The 20,141-nt window shown below is 44.2% G+C and overlaps 1 protein-coding gene across 3 annotated transcripts in view; it reads right to left on the minus strand.

Annotated features, from left to right (window-relative positions):
- The window catches only part of ATP6V1E1 (ATPase H+ transporting V1 subunit E1), a 36,687-nt gene that overhangs the window by 10,892 nt on the left and 5,654 nt on the right, over positions 1 to 20,141 (minus strand). For 2 of the 3 annotated variants that reach the window (NM_001039367.1, NM_001696.4), the window contains exons 2-4: positions 16,434 to 16,499; positions 10,184 to 10,293; positions 9,785 to 9,851 (exon numbers count right to left, since the gene is read on the minus strand). In NM_001039367.1, coding sequence (NP_001034456.1) covers positions 9,785 to 9,851; positions 10,184 to 10,293; positions 16,434 to 16,499 — 243 coding nt within the window. The remainder of the gene's footprint in view (positions 1 to 9,784; positions 9,852 to 10,183; positions 10,294 to 16,433; positions 16,500 to 20,141) is intronic. The other variant, NM_001039366.1, reaches the window with a different exon arrangement.

Here is a 20,141-nt window from a genome sequence, read left to right on the forward strand (position 1 = left end):
CTCACTGCAACCTCCACCTCCCGGGTTCAAGCGATTCTCCCACCTCAGCCTCCTGAGTGTTACAGGCGTGCGCCACCTCACCCAGCTAATTTTTGTATTTTTAGTAGAGACGGAGTTTCACCATGTTGGCCGGGCTGGTCTTGAACTCCTGACCTCAAGTGATCTGCCTGCCTCGGCCTCCCAAAGTGCTGGGATTACAGGTGTGAGCCACCATGCCCAGACTTAAAGAAACTTTAAAATGCAGTCTTTAATGGGAGGCATAGGTGGCAGGACTGCTTGAGCCCAGCAGTTTGAGACCAGCCGGGGCAACAGAGTGAGACCTCGTCTCTGTAAAATTAAAAAAAAAAATCAGGTGGTGAGCACCTGTAGTCCCAGGTACTAGGGAGGCTGAGGTGCAAGAATCCCTTGAGTCCAGGAGTTTGAGGCTGTCGTGAATGATAATCATACCACTGCACTCCAACCTGGGAAACTGTGTTTTTAAGGCTCAAGAGAAAGCACAGCCTCAGCCATGTGCAGTGGCTCACACCTCTGATCCCAGCACTTTGAGAGACCAAGGCGGGCTGATTACTTAAACCCAGAGTTTGAGGCCAGCCTGGGCAACAGAGTGAAACTCCATCTCTACTAAAAATGAATTTCGTATTTAGGCTTGGGTCCCATCTCCAAAATATCTTATTATGTGTAGGCAAATATTCCAAAATCCAAAAAATCTGAAATCCAAAAAACTTCTGGTCCCAAACATTTCAGATAAGGGATACACACCCTGTCTATAAGACATCTGGCTGAAAGAACTCTTAGCTCCTCCCCACCAAAAGAGCCCTCTAACATTTTTCCTCTCTGTGCTGGAATCACCCTATCCACACTGGTCACACAGACAGGGATAGACAGCCTGAGTATGGAGACGAGGCTACTCCAGTAAATTAAGTAATGTCAACTTGTGGAGCGTGCTACTAGCCATTTGCATAAGGAATCTACTATGGAAAACAGGGAAACGGTAATTAAGGAGTTTTAAAAGGCCAATTCGTTGAGTCTAAATAAACTAAACTCTAGCTAAGCAGGCTAGAACCTAATTGACATAAACTGTGTTATCCCTTGTCTGAAGCATGCCTGTCCACTATGTCACCACGGGAGAGAAAGGTAAATTATGATCAATAATTACCATCCGTGTGATAAGCTCCTAACATCCCAGTGACACCCTCTGGTGTGACTCTAACTTCAATTAACTTTCTGGTTATAATCTGGCTCCTCATGTAGCTTTTCCACAGCAACATGTGTCTCTCACTGTAAACTACTGCAGTTCACATGTGGGCTTATTTGTATTTTATGAGTTTGGAAGGGAAAATCTGCCCAACTGAACCTAACTGCCCTGAGGATTCTGAAAATATTTCCTGCTCCTCAAAAGCAGGAAACCAAAACCTGATTATGATGTCAACATCAAAACCATATCTCCCTGGCCCTGCCTAGTCTGAAGAGTCAGTGGGCATTTATTTCTTTGTTTTCTCTTTTTTTTTTTGAGACGGAGTCTCGCTTTGTCGCCCAGGCTGGAGTGCAGTGGTACGATCTCGGCTCACTGCAACCTCCGCCCCCTGGGTTCAAGCGATTCTCCTGCCTCAGCCTCCTGAGTAGCTGAGATTACAGGTGCACACCACCATGCCTGCTAATTTTTTTATTTTTAGTAGAGACAGGGCTTCACCATGTTGATCAGGCTGGTCTCGAACCCCGGACCTCATGATCCGCCCTCCTCGGCCTCCCAAAGTGTTGGGATTACAAGCATGAGCCACCAAACCCGGCCAAAGACATTTATTTCTATTTCATCTCTAACCACAGCAATAGAAATCTCCACTTCAGTACCAATGTCTCAGAATTTAAATGTTAATGCTTATTTATTCTCGTTTAAAAAAGAAAACTTGGCTGGGTGCGGTTGCTCACGCCTGTAATCTCAGCACTTTGGGAGGCTGAAGCAGGTGCATCACCTGAGGTCAGGAGTTTGAGACCGGCTTGGCCAACATGGTGAAACCCTGTCTCTACCTAAAATACAAAAAATTAGTAGGGCATGGTGAATCCCAGCTACTGGGGAGGCTGAGGCAGGAGAATCGCTTGAACCCGGGTGGCGGAGGCTGCAGTGAGTTGAGATCACGCCATTGCACTCCAGCCTGGGGGACAAGAGTGAGACTTCATCTCAAAAAAAAAAAAAAAAAAGAAAAGAAAAGAAAAGAAAACTTATGGCTAGGCATGGTGGCTCACGCCTGTAATCCCAGCACTTTGGCAGGCCGAGGCAGGCAGATCACCTGAGGTCGGGAGTTTGAGACCGGCCTGGCCAACATGGAAAAACCCCATCTCTTCTAAAAATACAAAATTAGCCTGGCATGGTGGCACATGCCTGTAATCCCAGCTACTCGGGAGGCTGAGGCAGGAGAATCACTTGAACCCAGGAGGCGGGGGGTGCAGTGAGCCGAGATTGCACCATTGCACTCCAGGCTGGGCAACAAGAGCGAAACTCCGTCTCAAAAAGAAAAAGAAAAAAGAAAACTTGTAAGTTTTGCGGTTTGGGGAAATGATAATAAAGAACTATCATTCACTCAACACTCATTTTGTTTTAGGCATTATACTAGTCACTCTACCTAGGTGATCTAATTTTTTTCTAAATAAGCTTTAGGTAGATGTTTCTCTTTTTTTTTTTTTTTTTTTTTTGAGACAGGGCATTGCTCTGTCATCCAGGCTGAAGTACAGTGGCACAATCATAGCTCAATCCTCCTGCCTCTGCCTCCAGAGTAGCTGGGACACCACCACGCCTGGCTACATTTTTTTAATTTTTAGTAGAGACAAGGTCTTACTGTGTTGCCTGGGCTGGTCTTGAATGCCTGGGCTCAAGCTATCCTCCTGCCTCAGCCTCCCAAAGTGTGGGGATTATAGGCATGGGGGATGGTGCCTGGCCTTCTCCTACTTTTTATAAGAAATGAAGGGTTCAAAGGAGTAAAGTGGGGTTTAAAAATCTGCCTACTGAGCAGCTGGGAATGGTAAAAACGGAACTTAAACCTCAAAGGAATTCCAAAGCCTGCACTCTTAATCCTGGAAAACACCTGGGCAGGCAAGGAAAAAGGATCAACACAGACAAATATCTATAAAGGATTATGCAACTTAGACCAAAGCACCACACAACTTGCCTATTTTCTTTTAATTTTTACCCCAGTTCTGTATTTTTCCCCTTCCTTCCATCTTTTGTCAATATCCTTTTCTAACTGCATGACAACTTCCTTTCCTTTCACAGCTTCTTATTCTATGGATAAAACTAGAAGTAAAAAGTTTAGAAATAGCAAAATCCACTCAAAGCATGTATGTGTGCTTTTATGCAGATTGAATCCTGTTTGATCGGTATCATTTCACAGTCTGTTTCCTCAACTCTCCACATCTCTTATTTACAGGGTTCAATGACGGCAAGAAGTTAAGACTGTAAGCGGTTAAAAAAGAAACAAGTATCTTTAGAATAACTGAAATTACATAAATGTTTATCTTCTCAAAATTCTCATTATAAGTCAGAGAAATAATATAAAAGCTCAAGCTATATACTGAATTCAAGTTGCATGCAACAGTATACTTGGATTTGTTCCAAAAGAGATTAAAACACACAGCCCAGCTTGTGAACAGGCCACGCACGCTGCCTTCAGCTCCTCACCTCACACGCACTTCTCCCTTCTCATGCCATAACAATCTGGCTTTCTGCCTTCATCAGTCCAATGAAACTGCTCTGGCAAATGTGAAAAACGACATCTTGACTGCCAAATCCAAAGACCACCATGCTCTTCCCACTGTCATTCTCTCAAACATTGAACACTGTATTAGAGACCATTTTGAGTTTGCCGTTCCCTTGGCTTCTCTGTATTCTCCAACATAACTGCTTTCCCCCACATTTCCTTAGCAATTTATTTTCTATTAAATCTGATGCTTCTCAGTTTTTTTGGCCCGCTTCTCTTCTAATTCTCCATCCAAAACCACAGCTCCAGCAGGGACTTCTGTGTTGTCTCCACATAAGCTCCTCTTCTCTCCTAACAGACTCATAGAGCTTCACCTGGAATCCTAAGGCAATTCAAACACAATGATTTTTTTCACCATTCTTTACCTGTTCTTCCTATATTTCTTTTTTTTTTTATTTTTGACATGAAGTCTCACTCTGTCGCCAGGCTGGAGTGCAGTGGCGTGATCCTGGCTCACTGCAACATCTGACTCCCTGGTTCAAGCAATTCTCCTGCCTCAGCCTCCCAAGTAGCTGGGATTACAGGCACCCCCCACCAGGCCCAGCTAATTTTTGTATTTTTAGTAGAGATGGGGTTTCACCATGTTTGCCAGGATGATCTCGATCTCCTGACCTCACGATCTGCCTGCCTCGGCCTCCCAAAGTGCTGGGATTATCTTCCCATATTTCTAATCTTCATTCCATCTACCAGTTGCCTAGACTACAAACTCTTATGTCATTCTTGACTCCTTTGCATTCACTCATCACAACTGTAAGTCACCAAGTCCTACAGATTCCTACCTTTTTAGGATCTCTGGAATAGGCCTGTCTTCTCTTTCTGCTGCCACCATTCTACTTCTCGACCTGGAAGGTAAGCCATACCCTCCTTGTTTCTACTCCACATGGTCACCAGTGGGGTTCCTCTAACACAAATGTAACCATTAAACACTATTTCTCAAAGTGTGGTTCTCAGACTACCTGCACCAAGATTACCCTGAGCTGCTGGTTTAAATGCTGACTCCTGACTAGAATATAAAAGTCTCTGGAAATGGGAATGAACATCTGCATTTTAACAAGGTCCCCCAGGTGATTTTTATGCCCATTAAAGTTAGAGAATTAGCCAAAAGGATGAAGTCCATATTCTTCAGCAGACACTCAAGGCCCTTCTAATTAGACCCTAATATGTGGCCTGTTCTCTGCCCACTCCCCACTCTGCCAGACTACCTCTGTTTCCCGCACATGTCAAATTCAGGTCTCGGTTTTTCACTCACACTGCTCTCTCCATTCTGTATCCTATCCCATGACTAATACTTCAAGTCATGCTCAAACAGCTGTAGTGGAGATGTATTATCTTGTCCAGGTCCTATTAGACTGCAGACTCCTAGAGGGGCCAGCACGATACAGGACACATGGGATAAATGTACTGTTAAATTCAAACAGCTTAGTGCCTCAAGGGAACCCAACTGAGTTATGACATGAAAACAGAAGAGTGACAACTGAGGGATAACATGAGTACCAAAACCAGAATTTTGTTTGCAACAATTTTAAAGTCAGCAGACAAACTCAGAGTGACTAAATCCGGGAAAGACATGTGGTATGAACTGAATGACTGCTTTGTCTTTCAAGGTCATAAAAAGAATTATTTTTCTCTAGCCCATTTCTTTTTGTTTCTATTATTTATTATTTTTAGAGACAGGGTCTCCCTGTGTCATTTATGCTGGAATGCAGTGGCATAATCACAGCTCACTGGAGCCTCAAACTCTTGGGCTCAAGTGATTCTCCCATCTCAGCCTCCAGAGTAGCTGGGACCACAGGCATGCGCTACCACACCTTGCTAATTTTTAAAAATTTTTTGTACAGACAGGGTCTCCCTATATTTATCAGACTGGTCTCAAACTCTTGGCCTCAAGCCACACTCCCACCTTGGCCTCATAAAGTGCTGTGACCACAGGCATGAGCCATGGCACCTGGCTAGCCCATCTCTGAAAGAATATGATGGATTACTGTATTTTGGAAAACTATCCTAAGTTGAAATTAAAACACATTCATTGGCCGGGAGCAGTGGCTCACGCCTGTAATCCCAGCACTTTGGGAGGCCGAGGCGGGCAGATCACGAGGTCAGGAAATCGAGACCATCCTGGCTAACACGGTGAAACCCTGTCTGTACTAAAAATACAAAAAATTAGCCGGGCGCAGTGGCGGGCGTCTGTAGTCCCAGCTACTCAAGGAGGCTGAGGCAGGAGACTGGCGTGAACCCGGGAGGCAGAGTCTGCAGTGAGCTGATATCGCGCCACTGCCACTGCACTCCAGCCTGGGCGATAGAGCGAGACTCCGTCTCAAAAAACAAAACAAAACAAAACAAACAAACAAACAAACAAACAAAAATTCATTCCATACAACTGCACTTCCTTTTTTTTCCTTTTTTGAGCGGAGTCTCACTCTGTCGCCCAGGCTGGAGTGCAATGACGGGATCTCAGCTCATTGCAACCTCCGCCTCCCGGGTTCAAGCAATTCTCCTGCCTCAGCCTCTCGAGTAGCTGGGACTATAGGCGCCCGCCACCACACCCAGCTAATTTTTTTGTATTTTTAGTAGAGACAGGGCACCACATTGGCCGGGCTGGTCTCAAACTCCTGACCTCAAGTGATCCATCCGCCTCATCCTCCCAAAGTGCTGGGATTACAGGCGTGAGCCACCATGCCCATCCTGCTCTTTTTTTTTTTTTTTTTTTTTTGAGACGGAGTCTGGCTCTGTCACCCAGGCTGGAGTGCAGTGGTGCGATCTCAGCTCACTGCAAGCTCGGCCTCCTGGGTTCACGCCTTTCTCCTGCCTCAGCCTCCCGAGTAGCTGGGACTACAGGCGCCCACCACCACGCCCGGCTAATTTTTTGTATTTTTAGTGGAGACGTGGTTTCACCGTTGTTAGCCAGGATGGTCTCAATCTCCTGACCTCGTGATCCGCCCGCCTCGGCCTCCCAAAGTGCTGGGATTACAGGTCTGAGCCACCACGCCCAGCCCCACACTTTCTTTTAATATCCTCCACCTCAAAATTTGAAAACCACTGTGTGTCATGAGAGATGTTACTAAAATGTAAAATAACTGTATGAATATTCCAGAGAGAAGGGAAAAAAGTTGAGAAGCACCGATATTGAAGTATTTGATAAATGAATGAATGATCTGAATTTTAGGTGTCAAGTTTTCTTATCTATGCCACTTCAAATTTTCCCTCTGAGGCCAGGCATGGTGGCTCTTGCCTGTTATCCCAGCTACATAGGAGGCTGAGGTGGGAAGGACTGCTTGAGCCCAGGAGTTTGTGAGCTATGACTGCACCATTGCATTCCAGCCTGGGCAACATAGCCAGACCATGCCTCTTAAAAAAAAATTCCTTCTAAAAGCCAACTAGTAATTATTTATATATTCTAATAGATTTAAGGCAGCTTACAGAAGTATATCTAATGAAAACGTTAATTACGTTTTTTAAAAAGCAAATTAGAAAAAATAACTAATAAAATATAAACAAGTGGATTAAAAAATTAAAGCAAAGAGAAAATAAGGGCAATAAATAACAAGTTAAAATTACAAGTCAAGTCAAATCCACTAGACCTATGGGTTGTTTACATCCAGTTATGAAAGGTCGGTATACCATCTAAGGCAGGACAGCATCAGAGAATGTATCATCAAAACCATTTCTATAATATGTTAGATGATCTTTCTCAGAATCTTTTCCACTCTTAATATTATTAACCTTCAAAAAGGTGGCATAAAAAACAAACCAAATAAAAAACCTAATTATAAAGCCTATTAACTAGCTAAGACTATAATCTTTTGCTATAACCTTGTGTGTTATAGCCCTTGCTACTTATATTTAGGAATGCTGCCAAGACATTAACATTACATGCCTCTAAACTTTTTTGAATTGTACAAATAATAATATCTATGCAGTAGATGTCACAGTTGTCATTTTTTACTTTGGGCATAAATAATGAAAAGACTATAGTCAAGAGGCTTTCTGGGCATTAGCACCCAATAAGCTAAGAATATTTTATCTACACAGGCCTATTATTAGAAGGAAGGGTTATCACTGGTGGAGACGGAGATGGGGTTGGAGAAAGGGAACTAACATTTTTTAAACACGATATGACAAATGTTACATGCCAGAGGACTTAAATGTGTTCTCTCATTCGATTCTCATAAGCACTCTGAACCAAACATCATAATGAATATACATAACATAGATAATGAATACAAGAGAAAACCGAGGGTCAGAAACAGTAATTTAGACAAACGAATATGGCAGAGTTGACATTTAAACTCATAGCTGACTGACTCTTAAGCCCCAAGCCCTTCTACAACAAACTACCTTCCCTAAGACATTATTATTGTAAAAGCCTGTTATAAATTAATTCAGTCAATCCAAGTTGCTAAAGGAATTTGAATCCCCTGGAAGGAAATCAACTCCTGATTATTGACACTTTAGTGAAGACGCAAAATAACAGTTGTCCTGAGCTAGTAACATTTTGCAGGCAACATTTCCCCAGGAAACTCTTGACTCTTTCTTTTGTATTTTAAAGGGGATGAACTAATCCCATGTGGCAAGATAAACTGGCAACAGATTTTGTATTTTCCCACATTCCTGGAGTTTCAAAGCAGATAAAGCACTTAAATTTGGGGCAACTTTTATTATTTGAAGTAATATAGGAGTTATATTAGTAAATCATCTCTATGGTGTCCTAAATATCAGTCCTTTACACTTAACATCCTCACTGACACTTACATCTGGAGGTTTCTTGGTCCCTCAAACATGTCCAAAAGTCCAGCCCACCCAGGGATGCCAAAACAAACAAACAGAAAAAAGAACTAGTTATTTTTCTTAACGAAACATTTCAGCATCTTGACTTCCCATTTTTGTTAATGGATCCACCATTCTCCTAGTCTATCCACACCTGATACTCAGAATTTAGTGATGGACTTGGAAGAAAAGGCAGAGTCAATGAATGTCTGGAAAGTCTTCCTGTAAAATCCATCAACACTAACACTGCTACTCAGTTCTCACTGCCACCATCGATTAATAAGAACTGACAACTTGGAATACTGGTTTGTGTTTCTTTCTCATCTAAGAAAACAGTATGTCTTCCATTTTTTCAAGTTCTATATTTTTAGTTTTATAGCTGTTTTCATATAGGACTTACTCCTAGTAATTTAATAATTTTAGTAGCTATTATAGAGAGATCTACTTTTTATTTTACTTGCAAACTGGTTATTGTTGGCATACAGGAAAACTATTCATTTCCTATTGTGTTTGTAGCCAGTCACATTGCTGGATTAGTTATAGGATCTTATGTTTTTTGAACCTTATATTTTCTGCTTGAATAACCGTATCTGCAAAGATGGTAATTTCGTTTCTTCTATCCCAATATTTATGTAACTCTCATTTCTCCAACTCATAAGGAATCTAGGGCCTCCACAGTCACAATGAGTAACAGTGGAAACAGCAGGCATCCCTGTTTGGCTTATGAATATAATCCAAATAGCTCTACACTTTCTCAATGAAGTGGTATGCTTCTGAAGGTTTCTGCCCTCTTCCTTAGAGGACTATAATACTTTCCATATGGTTTTCTTTTTTCCAGCCTCTTCCCTGTTAAATTTAGCCTGCACGCTTATATCATGAGCCTTATTTATGATATTCTCCACAAAATAATACAAAAGTTTCCACAGCTTTCTGTTGAAAACAGGTGAAGCTCTTCAGCCTCACACTCATGGCCTCTGTATTAACCATCCTATGGTTCTGGTCTCACTGGTCCCTGTACCCTCATGTACTACTGTGCGGTCCACCCATAGTGTGTGCTATAATCCAGGAGAGTCTTACATGCTCTTTAGATCAGAAGGTCCTTCAATACAGGCCTTGGCTCTTATTCACTTTTGTATTTATTATAATAATTGGAATGTTTTCTCTCTAAAGATTATTCAATCAACTCCTTAATTAATGTTAACTAGTAATTTACAACAGGGAAATGAATAAACATGTAATAATTTTATAACTAATAGGGGCTAATTACTCACTGTGATAAGGTCATCTCTTGCTCTGAGGACTTTGAGTCTCGCTTGATTCATCAAATTGGACATCTGACTGCAAAACGGTATTGAAAAATAGCATTAGTAACAACTTAAAACTGTAGAGAAAGAATTCGAACTCCTGGGCTCAAGCAATCCTCCTCCCTTGGCCTCCCCAAAGCACCAGGATTACAAGCGTGAGCCACCTTGCCCAGCCTGCAGTTTAATCTTTGAATAATCCTGTCAGGCTTTAATTTTCACAAATGAAGAAAGAGAAGTTAAACAATTTGTCAGATTAGTAGTAGGTGGTCGAGTTAAGACCTGAATTTATATATGCCTGACTCCAAAGCGCCTGCTCATGACTTCAGAAAACTTCTTAGCTTAATACTGCAACCAGGATCTACTTACATTTTCTTCTGCTGCTCAATCTGTTTCTCTTTCTTCTCATAATATTCCATAATCTTTAGTCTTTGGGTTTGCACAAGCCGACCTTTCTCTATGTTGAACTCTTCTTCTGCCTAGAGGGAAATTAGTCAATATTAATTCATTACATCAAGTTTTGATTAACAGTTTTAAACAGCTGGTGACCTGCGTTACTTGCTTATGAACACTAATTTCATATATAAAACAGAAAATTTATTGTGATTCATTTTCAAGGATTCTAATTTATTCAAAAGGAAAGATCAGCAATTTTCATTATAAATGACGTACTAGGAAACTAAAAATTTCGTCAAGGGTAACAGTAACCGACAAGTTACTAAAGGATATAATTGGGTAGAATATTCTGCTCATGAAAAAAATTACCACACGTTCGAAACTTAATCCATTAGCTTACTGGTGGGCCAATAAATATGACACAGAACTTGAAAGTTTAGAAGATCCTGGCCGGGTGCGGTGGCTCACGCCTATAATCCCAATACTTTGGGAGGCCGAGGCGGGTGGATCACGAGGTCAGGAGATCGAGATCATCCTGGCTAACACGGTGAAACCCTGTCTCTACTAAAAATACAAAAAATTAGCCAGGCGCGGTGGCAGGCGCCTGTAGTCCCAGCTACTCAGGAGGCTGAGGCAGGACAATGGCGTGAACCCGGGAGGCAGAGCTTGCAGCGAGTGGAGATCGTGCCACTGCACTCTAGCCTGGGCGACAGAGCAGAACTCTGTCTCAAAAAAAAACAAAGATCCAGATTACTGCCCATAAAATGTGGTCGAGTAACCTCAGGCTTAGTGTCCTCTCTTGTAAAATGAACTTAAAAAAATTAAAAAGTTGGCTGGGCGCAGTGGCTCACGCCTGTAATCCCAGCACTTTGGGAGGCCAAGGCAGACAGATCACCTAAGGTCAGGAGTTTGAGATCGGCCTGATCAACATAGAGAAACCTCGTCTCTACTAAAAATATAAAACTGGCCAGGCGTGGCGGCGCATGCCTGTAATCCCAGCTAGTCGGAAGGCTGAGGGAGGAGAATCGCTTGAACCTGGGAGGCGGAGGTTGCAGTGAGCCGAGATCGTGCCACTGCACTCTAGCTTAGGGAAGAAGAGGGAAACTCCATCTAAAAAAATAAAAATAAAAAATAAAGGCTAGGCATGGTGGCCTAACGCCTGCCATCCCAGCACTTTGGGGGGCTGAGGCGGGCAGATCACCTGAGGTCGGGAGTTCGAGACCAGCCTGACCAACATGGAGAAATCCCATCTCTACTAAAAATACACACACACACACACAAAAATTAGCCGCGCATGGTGGGCACATGCCTGTAATCCCAGATACTCAAGAGGGAGAGGTAGGAGAAATGCTTGAACCCAGGAGGTGGAGGTTGCAGTGAGCTGAGATCACGCCATTGCACTCCAGCCTGGGCAACAAAAGCGAACTCTTAAAAAAAAAAAAAAAAGTTGCCTGGGCACGGTGGCTCACACCTGTAATCCCAGCACTTTGGGAGGCAGAGGCAGGCGGATCATGAGGTCAGGAGATCGAGACCATCCTGGCTAACATGGTGAAACCCCGTCTCTACTAAAAAATACAAAAAATTAGGCGGGCGTGGTGGCAGTCGCCTGTAGTCCCAGCTACTCGGGAGGCTGAGGCAGGAGAATGGCATGAACCCGGGAGGCGGAACTTGCAGTGAACCGAGATCGCGCCTGGGCAGCAGAGCGAGACACCGTTTCAAAAAAAAAAAAAATTTTTTTTCCCTCATGGGTAAGTGTCGCATATATTTAAAAATATAAATTATGGGCTGGGCGCCATGGCTCACGCCTATAATCTCAGCAGTTTCGGAGGCTGAGGCAGGCGGATCACAAGGTCGGGAGTTCAAGACCAGCCTGGCCAACATAGTGAAACCCCATCTCTACTAAAAATACAAAAATTAGCCAGGCGTGGTGGCGGGCGCCTGTAGTTCAAGATACTTGGGAGGCTGAGGCAGGAGAATTGCTTGAAGCCAGGAGGCAGAGATTACAGTGAGCCGAGATCATGCCACTGCACTCTAGCCTGGGTGACAGAGCAAGACTCCATCCAAAAAAAATATTAATTTTTTTATACATAAATTTTATTATACATTATTTTATTATACGTAAACAGGCCAGGTAGAGTGGCTCAGGCCTATAATCCCAGCACTTTGGGAGGCCGAGGTAGGCGGATCACTTGAGGTCAGGAGTTCCAAGACGAGCCTGGCCAACATGGTGAAAGCCCGTCTCTACTAAAAACACAAAAATTACCTGGGCCTGGGTAGGCGCCTGTAATCCCAGCTACCCAGAAGCTAAGGCAGGAGAATCGCTTGAACCCAGGAGGCAGAGGTTAGAGTGAGCAGAGATTACACTGCTGCACTCCAGCCTGGGCGATAGAGGTGGCTCACGCCTGCAATCCCAGCACTTTGAAAGGCCAAGGCGGGTGGATCATGAGGTCAAGAGTTCGAGACCAGTCTGGCCAACATGGTGAAACCCCATCTCTACTAAGAATACAAAAATTGGCCTGGCGCGGTAGCTAACGCCTGTAATCCCAACACTTTGGGAGGCTGAGGTGGGCAGATCGTGAGGTCAGGAGATCAAGATCACCCTGGCTAACACGGTGAAACCCCATCTCTACTAAAAATACAAAAAATTAGCTGGGCGTGGTGGCAGGTGCCTGTAGTCCCAGGTACTCAGGAGGCTGAGGCAGGAGAATCACTTGAACCTGGGAGGCAGAGGTTGCGGTGTGCTGAGATCGTGCCATTGCACTCCAGCCCGGGCGACAGTGCAAGACTCCATCTCAAAAAACAAACAAACAAACAAACAAACAAACAAAAGCCGGGCGTGGTGGCTCACGCCTGTAATCCCAGCACTTTGGGAGGCTGAAGCTGGAGGATCATGAGGTCAGGAGTTCCACAGCAGCCTGGCCAATATGGTGAAACCCCATCGCTATTAAAAATATAAAAAATTTAGCTGGGCATGGTGGCAGGGACCTGTAATCCCAGCTACTCAGGAGGCTAAAGCAAGAGAATTGCTTGAACCCAGGAGGTGGGGGTTGTGGTGAGCCGACATTGCACCACTGCACTCCAGCCTGGGCAATAGAGGGAGACTCCGTCTCAAAACTAAATAAAATAAATAAATATTTGAGACAGAAATGCATTTACTGAGGCCAGGCGTGGTGGCTCACGCCAGTAATCCTAGCACTTTGGGAGGCCAAGGCAGGTGGACTGCCTGAGTTCAGGAGTTCAAGACCAGCCTGGGCAACACAGTAAAACCCCATCTCTACTAAAATACAAAAAATTAGCTGGGCGTGATGGCATGCGCCTGTAGTCCCAGCTACTTGGGAGGCTGAGGCAGGAGAATCGCTTGAACTCGGGAGGCGGAGGTTGTGGTGAGCTGAGATCGCGCCACTGCACTCCAGTCTGGGCAACAAGAATGAAACTCCGGCTCAAAAAAAAAAAAAAAAAAGAAATGCATTTCCTGAAATAATAGCTGAAATAGGACTTCTGTATTTGATCCAGAAAGAGTCATACAAGAGGCCAGGCGCGGTGGCTCAAGCCTGTAATCCCAGCACTTTGGGAGGCCGAGGCGGGCGGATCACGAGGTCAGGAGATCGAGACCATCCCGGCTAAAACGGTGAAACCCCGTCTCTACTAAAAATACAAAAAATTAGCCGGGTGTAGTGGCGGGCGCCTGTAGTCCCAGCTACTTGGGAGGCTGAGGCAGGAGAATGGCGTGAACCCGGGAGGCGGAGCTTGCAGTGAGCCGAGATCCCGCCACTGCACTCCAGCCTGGGCGACAGAGCGAGACTCCGTCTCAAAAAAAAAAAAAAAAGAGTCATACAAGAAACTATCACCATCAAAACAATATTAAGCAATATCCTATCAGCTGTTATGTATTAGTGAGAGGGAAAATAGTCTTTTCTTCTTCAAATGATAAACTAGTCAAATAGCCCAAGGTTTCAGAGAGTTTTATTTCTAGAGTACCAGGCACATAAAAATTTAAGGCTGTACTAAAAGGACAATGAAAATATTAAACAATATATCTTGGTCATATTTTATTTACTGATTTTTTTCTTGAGACAGAGTCTTACTCTGTCACCCAGGCTAGATGGAGTGCAGTGGTGCGATCTCAGCTCACTGCAACCTCCACCTCCCGGGTTCAAGTGATTCTCCTGCCTCAGCCTCCTGAGTAGCTGAGACTGCAGGCGTGCACCACCACACCCAACCAATTTTTGTATTTTTTGTAGAGATGGGGTTTCAACATGTTGGCCAGGCTGGTCTTGAACTCCTGACCTCAGGTGATCCACTTGTGTCGGCCTCCCAAAGTGCTGGGATTACAGGTGTGAGCCACCGCCCCGGCCATATTTTGGTAATATTTTTAAGGCAAGCTTTAAAAAATGCGTGTTATGATTATACCTTGGGAAAAGAACATTTTGACATACTGTTAAGGAATATAAATTGGCATAAGCAATGTACAACTGGAAATATATATAAAACTTCTAAATGCTGATGGAAGGTCACCTTTGTAATGGGTGGGGTTTTCATTTTATACCCTATATACTTCCAAACTTTTTATTTTTTATTTTTTAATTTTTTGAGACAAGGTCTCACTCTGTCGTCCAGGCTGGAGTGCAGTGGCACGATCTCTGCTGACTGCAACCTCTGCATTCTGGGATCAAGCGATTCTCCCGCCTCAGCCTCCCGAGGAGCTGGGATGACAGGCACACACCACCATGCCCAGCTAATTTTTGTATTTTTAGTAGACACGGGGTTTCACCATGTTGGCCAGGCTGGTCTTGAACTCCTGACCTCAGGTGATCCGCCTGCCTTGGCCTCCCAAAGTGCTGGGATTACAGGCGTGAGCCACCAATCCCAGCCCAAACTTTACTTTTTTGCAATGAGCACAGATTAACAAAAAAGCTAAACAATGAAACACTACAACCTTCTCTAGTCACCTATCACAGTTCGCCACGGTTGTTAAATATCTGAATTTTGGTTTCCATGAGAAAATGAATCATACATTACTTTTCTACCCTCTAACATAAAATTTCAGGACACTTATTGGCATCACAACCATTAGAAAGGAAAATTTATTTTTTAATGTTAAAGATACAGACATTTCCAATGAGGAATTTATTAAGGTAAAATTTAAATTAAAAAGTAAATAAAGGCCGGGTGTGGTGGCTCATGCCTGTAATCCCAGCACTTTGGGAGGCCGAGGCAGGCAGATCACGAGGTCAGGAGATCGAGACCATCCTGGCTAATGTGGTGAAACCTTGTCTCTACTAAAAATACAAAAAATTAGCCAGGCGTGGTGGCGGGTGTCTGTAATCCCAGCTACTCGGGAGGCTCAGGCAAGAGAACGGTGTGAACCTGGGAGGTGGAGCTTGCAGTGAGCCAAGATCTGGCCACTGCACTCCAGCCTGGGCGACAGAGCGAGACTCCATCTCAAAAAAAAAAAAAAAAAAAAAAAAGTAAATAAATAGGGCTGGGCACGGTGTTTCACACCTGTAATCCCAGCACTTTGGGAGGCCCAAGCGGGTGGATCATCTGAGGTCAGGAGTTCAAGACCAGCCTGGCCAACATGGTGAAACCCTGTCTCTACTAAAAATACAAAAATTAGACAGGTGTGACGGTGCCTGCCTGTAGTCCCAGCTACTTGGGAGGCTGAGGCAGGAGAATCACTTGAACCCGGGAGGCAGAGGTTGCAGTGAGCTGAGATCAGGCCACTGCACTGCAGTCCCAGTGACGAAGCGAGACTGTCTCAAAATGAAAGAAGGGGCCAGGCACTGTGGCTCATACCTGTAATCCCAGCACTTGGGGAGGACGAGGTAGGCGGATCACAAGGTCAAGAGATTGAGACCATCCTGGCCAACACGGTGAAACCCCGTCTCTACTAAAAATACAAATATTAGCTGGGTTTGGTGGCACATGCCTGTAATCTCAGCTACTCGGGAGGCTGAGGTAGGAGAATCACTTGAACCTGGGAGGCGGAGTTTGCAGTGAGCCGAGATCGCGCCATTGCACTTCAGCCTGGGCGACAAGAGTGAAACTCGGTCTCCAAAAAAAAAAAAATGAAGGAAGGAAGGAGGGGAAGGAGGGAAGGAAGAGACATTTTTATCAGTCCGATGCAATCTGTTGTTAAGCAGTTTTACTAACAATATTATTTAGCAAAGCAAAACAATATGGAAACCTTGATAACTTCTTAAAACTAGAAAATGAATCTCACCTTTGCATCTATTTCTTCTGCTTTCTCATTGGCTTCTTGTTCAATGAAAGCCATCATATGCTTTATCTATAAGGAAAAAAAGTTTTATTTTTTAGTTCAAAAATATGGAAATATCTTTTCTGATTCATTGAACAAGTAATCATAGGTAGGTGCAGTGGCTCACGCCCGTAATCCTACCACTCTGGGGGGCCAAGGAGGGAGGATTGCTTTAGGCCAGGAGGTGGAGACTAGTCTGGACAACACAGATACCCCGTCTCTACTAAAAATTTAAAAAAGTCAATCACTTACTGAATGCATATTGTGCTAGGCTCTGAGTACAAGGATAAGTGAGATCATTCCTATTCTCAGGAAACTTAGGATCTAAAATTTGTTCAAGAAAATAGACCAGATACAATACTCAATAACACAGATAAATAGGACCTTCATCCTCCTCTCAAGGAACTTGGAATACAAGTTAGCCAGCACCCTCCCTTTCTCTTCTCCACCTGTAAGAAAGTATGCTGAAGAGCTATCTATACTTACTCTTTCAACTTTACTACCTTTCTCTCAACACTGCAGTCTCACTTGCACCCTTCTCTGTACTCCACTGACAGTTCTCTCATAAAGTGACCATCTCCTCGCCCCTTGATCTTGGCCTTTTCTTACTTGATCTTTCAGCATCAGTTGATGTGTTCAGCAACCTTCCCTTTGTTTTTTTTTTTTTTTGAGACAGAGTCTCGCTCTGCCACCCAGGCTGGAGTGCAGTGGCATGATCTCGGCTCACTGCAAGCTCTGCCTCCCAGGTTCAGGCCATTCTCCTGCCTCAGCCTCCCGAGTAGCTGGGACTACAGGCGCCCGCCACCATGCCTGGCTAATTTTTTGTATTTTTAGTAGAGACGGGGTTTCACCATCTTAGCCAGGATGGTCTCGATCTCCTGGCCCTGTGATCCGCCCGCCTCAGCCTCCCAAAGTACTGGGATTACAGACGTGAGCCACCGCGCACGGCGAGCAACCTTCCCTTCTTTAACAATCTTCCCTTTGCGTCCGTGACTTCCTCCTGTTCTCCTTTCCAGTCTCCTTTGGGGCCATACTCTTCCACTCTTTTGGGGCCATACTCTTCCACTCTGCCTCCTAGACAGCTCTTTTTGAACATCCTACTCATAGTAATTTAAATTCAACACATTCAATACTGAACTGCTCACCACTCCTCTCCCCACTTCTCACTTTGAGCTCTCTCTCAGGGATTAGCACCAACACCCAACTGTGACTATTCCTCCTACCTCAGTCCTTATATCCAAGCAATCACCAAGTTCTATTAATTCTCTCTTAATAGTTCTTTACCGGCCGGGCATGGTGGCTCACGCCTGTAATCCCAGAACTTTGGGAGGCCGAGGCGGGCGGATCACGAGGTCAGGAGATCCAGACCATCCTGGCTAACAGGGTGAAACCCCATCTCTACTAAAAATACAAAAAATTAGCCGGCGTGGTGGCGGGCGCCTGTAGTTCCAGCTACTTGGGAGGCTGAGGCAGGAGAATGGCGTGAACCCGGGAGGCGAAGCTTGCAGTGAGCCGAGATCGCGCCACTGCACACCAGCCTGGGCGACAGAGCGAGACTCTGTCTCAAAAAAAAAAATAGTTCTTTACCTTGCCCACCTCGCTCCATCATCGGAGGGACTACCATAGTCCTTGCCATCATCTCCTCTCAGCTAAACTACTACAACAGCTTCCAAATTTGTCTTCCTGCCGCTATTCTTGTTGTTTCTAATCGACTCTACATTGCCACCAGAGAGATGCTTTCAAAATGCCTATCTTATCATGTAACACTCTACCCCCGCTTAAGATAAAGATTTTAGAAGGTACAGGATCTTATCACTGCTTATCTGTCTTTTTTTGAGACAGGGTCTCTGTCTCCCAGGCTAGAGTGCAATGGCACAATCCCGCCTCATTTTGACCTCCGCCTTCTACAGCTCAAGCGATCCCCCCGTAGCTGGGACCATAGGTGCGTGTCACCACGTCCAGCTTAATTTTGTATTTTTTGTAGAGAGGGGTTTTGCCATGTTGCCCAGGCTGGTCTTGAACTACTGGGCTCAAGCGATCCTCCTGCCTTGGCTTCCCGAAGTGCTGGGATTTCAGGTGTGAGTCACCGTACTCAGCCCACTGCTTACCTTTCAAGCATCATATGAAACAACAAACCCTTCACTACTCACCATCTTCAGACTCTTAGTTCCTACCATACTAAACTTATTTCAGTTCCTTGAGCTCACCATTCTTTCTCATCTCCAAGATTTCAAACATGCTGTTCCTTCCATTTGGAACATTCTTCCTTCTAACTTTTTGGGCCTCAGCTTGTATAACTATCACCTCCTTAGGGAAATCTTTCCTGTACCTAGAGTACTTTGTACTTCCTCTATCACGGCACCTAAACTTGTAATTGTTGCTTATTTGTCCCTATCCTCAACTGAACTATGAGGCTAGGAACTTGTTAAAGGTTCCTAGATCACCGGCTACAATTGGAGAATAAAGTCCAATGAAGGCTTCCGAATGGGGCTTGGGGAATAATCCAACTTAGACTCATAAATGAAGTATCATCTCTTGTGGCAGATATAAAATATACCCAAGTAAAAATCCAACCGACACAGCTCATCAAACTCACTGGTTGTGGGATGCAATGGTAGCTTCATTTCCTAAGGGAGTGATGAAATCCAAAAAGGAAAAAAAAGCTAAAAATTGACGTAGGATCTTTAGGTCATTAATTCATTTTGTTTATTAATTATCCCACTAAAAGGTAAGCACCACTGAGTACAGGGATCTTGTCTTTTATGCCAGTGTGAACCCAGAACATGGAACAACCACCACCATAGGAGATGCTCAAAAAAATTTGTGAATGAATGCAAATCTGTTGGGAGTTTCAAGACTTCTAAGGAATACAAGGTATCCCAGGTACTTTTTAGGGTTTAACAATCTGTAAACAATCCCCATAGCAGCTTCTCCATATAACACAAGATATCATAAATCTTAAGTATACATAGGTGTACCAAAACGAATTAAGAAAGCACTACTGGGTGGGGAGCTAGGGGAGGGATAGCATTAGGAGAAATACCTAATGTAGATGATGGGTTGATGGGTGCAGCAAACCACCATGGCACGCGTATCACTATGTAACAAACCTGTGCACATTCTGCACATGTATCTCAGAACTTAAAGTATAATGAAACAAAAAAAAGAAAGAAAAGAAAACACTACTGCCTGGGTATGGTGGCTCATGCCTGTAATCCCAAGACCCTGGGAGGCCAAGGTGGGTAGATCTCCTGAGGTTGGGAGTTTGAGACCAGCCTGGCCAAGATGGAGAAACCCCATCTCTACTAAAAATACAAAAAATTAGCCAGGCGTGGTGGTGCATGCCTGTAATCCCAGTTACTCAGGAGGCTGAGGCAGGAGAATCACTTGAACCTGGAGGCGGAGGTTGTGGTAGGCATAGATTGTGCCACTGCACTCCAGCCTGGGCAAGAAGAGCGAAACTCCGTCTCAAAAAAAACAAAACAAAATGAAACAAAAAACATATAGGAGGATTTTAGAAGGGACAGTTTTTTTGTTTTATCAAAAATCTTGGAGCCACCCTACTTTTCTTTTTTTTCTTATTTTGGCAGGTGAGTTGTTACACACTCAGTGGATTCCAACTTCTGTGGCCACCATCGTGTTTCCAATCCTACTTTTAAGGAGACAAAAAGT

Source organism: Homo sapiens, chromosome 22 (assembly GCF_000001405.40).
Source record: "Homo sapiens chromosome 22, GRCh38.p14 Primary Assembly".
Classification (NCBI taxonomy): domain Eukaryota; kingdom Metazoa; phylum Chordata; class Mammalia; order Primates; family Hominidae; genus Homo; species Homo sapiens.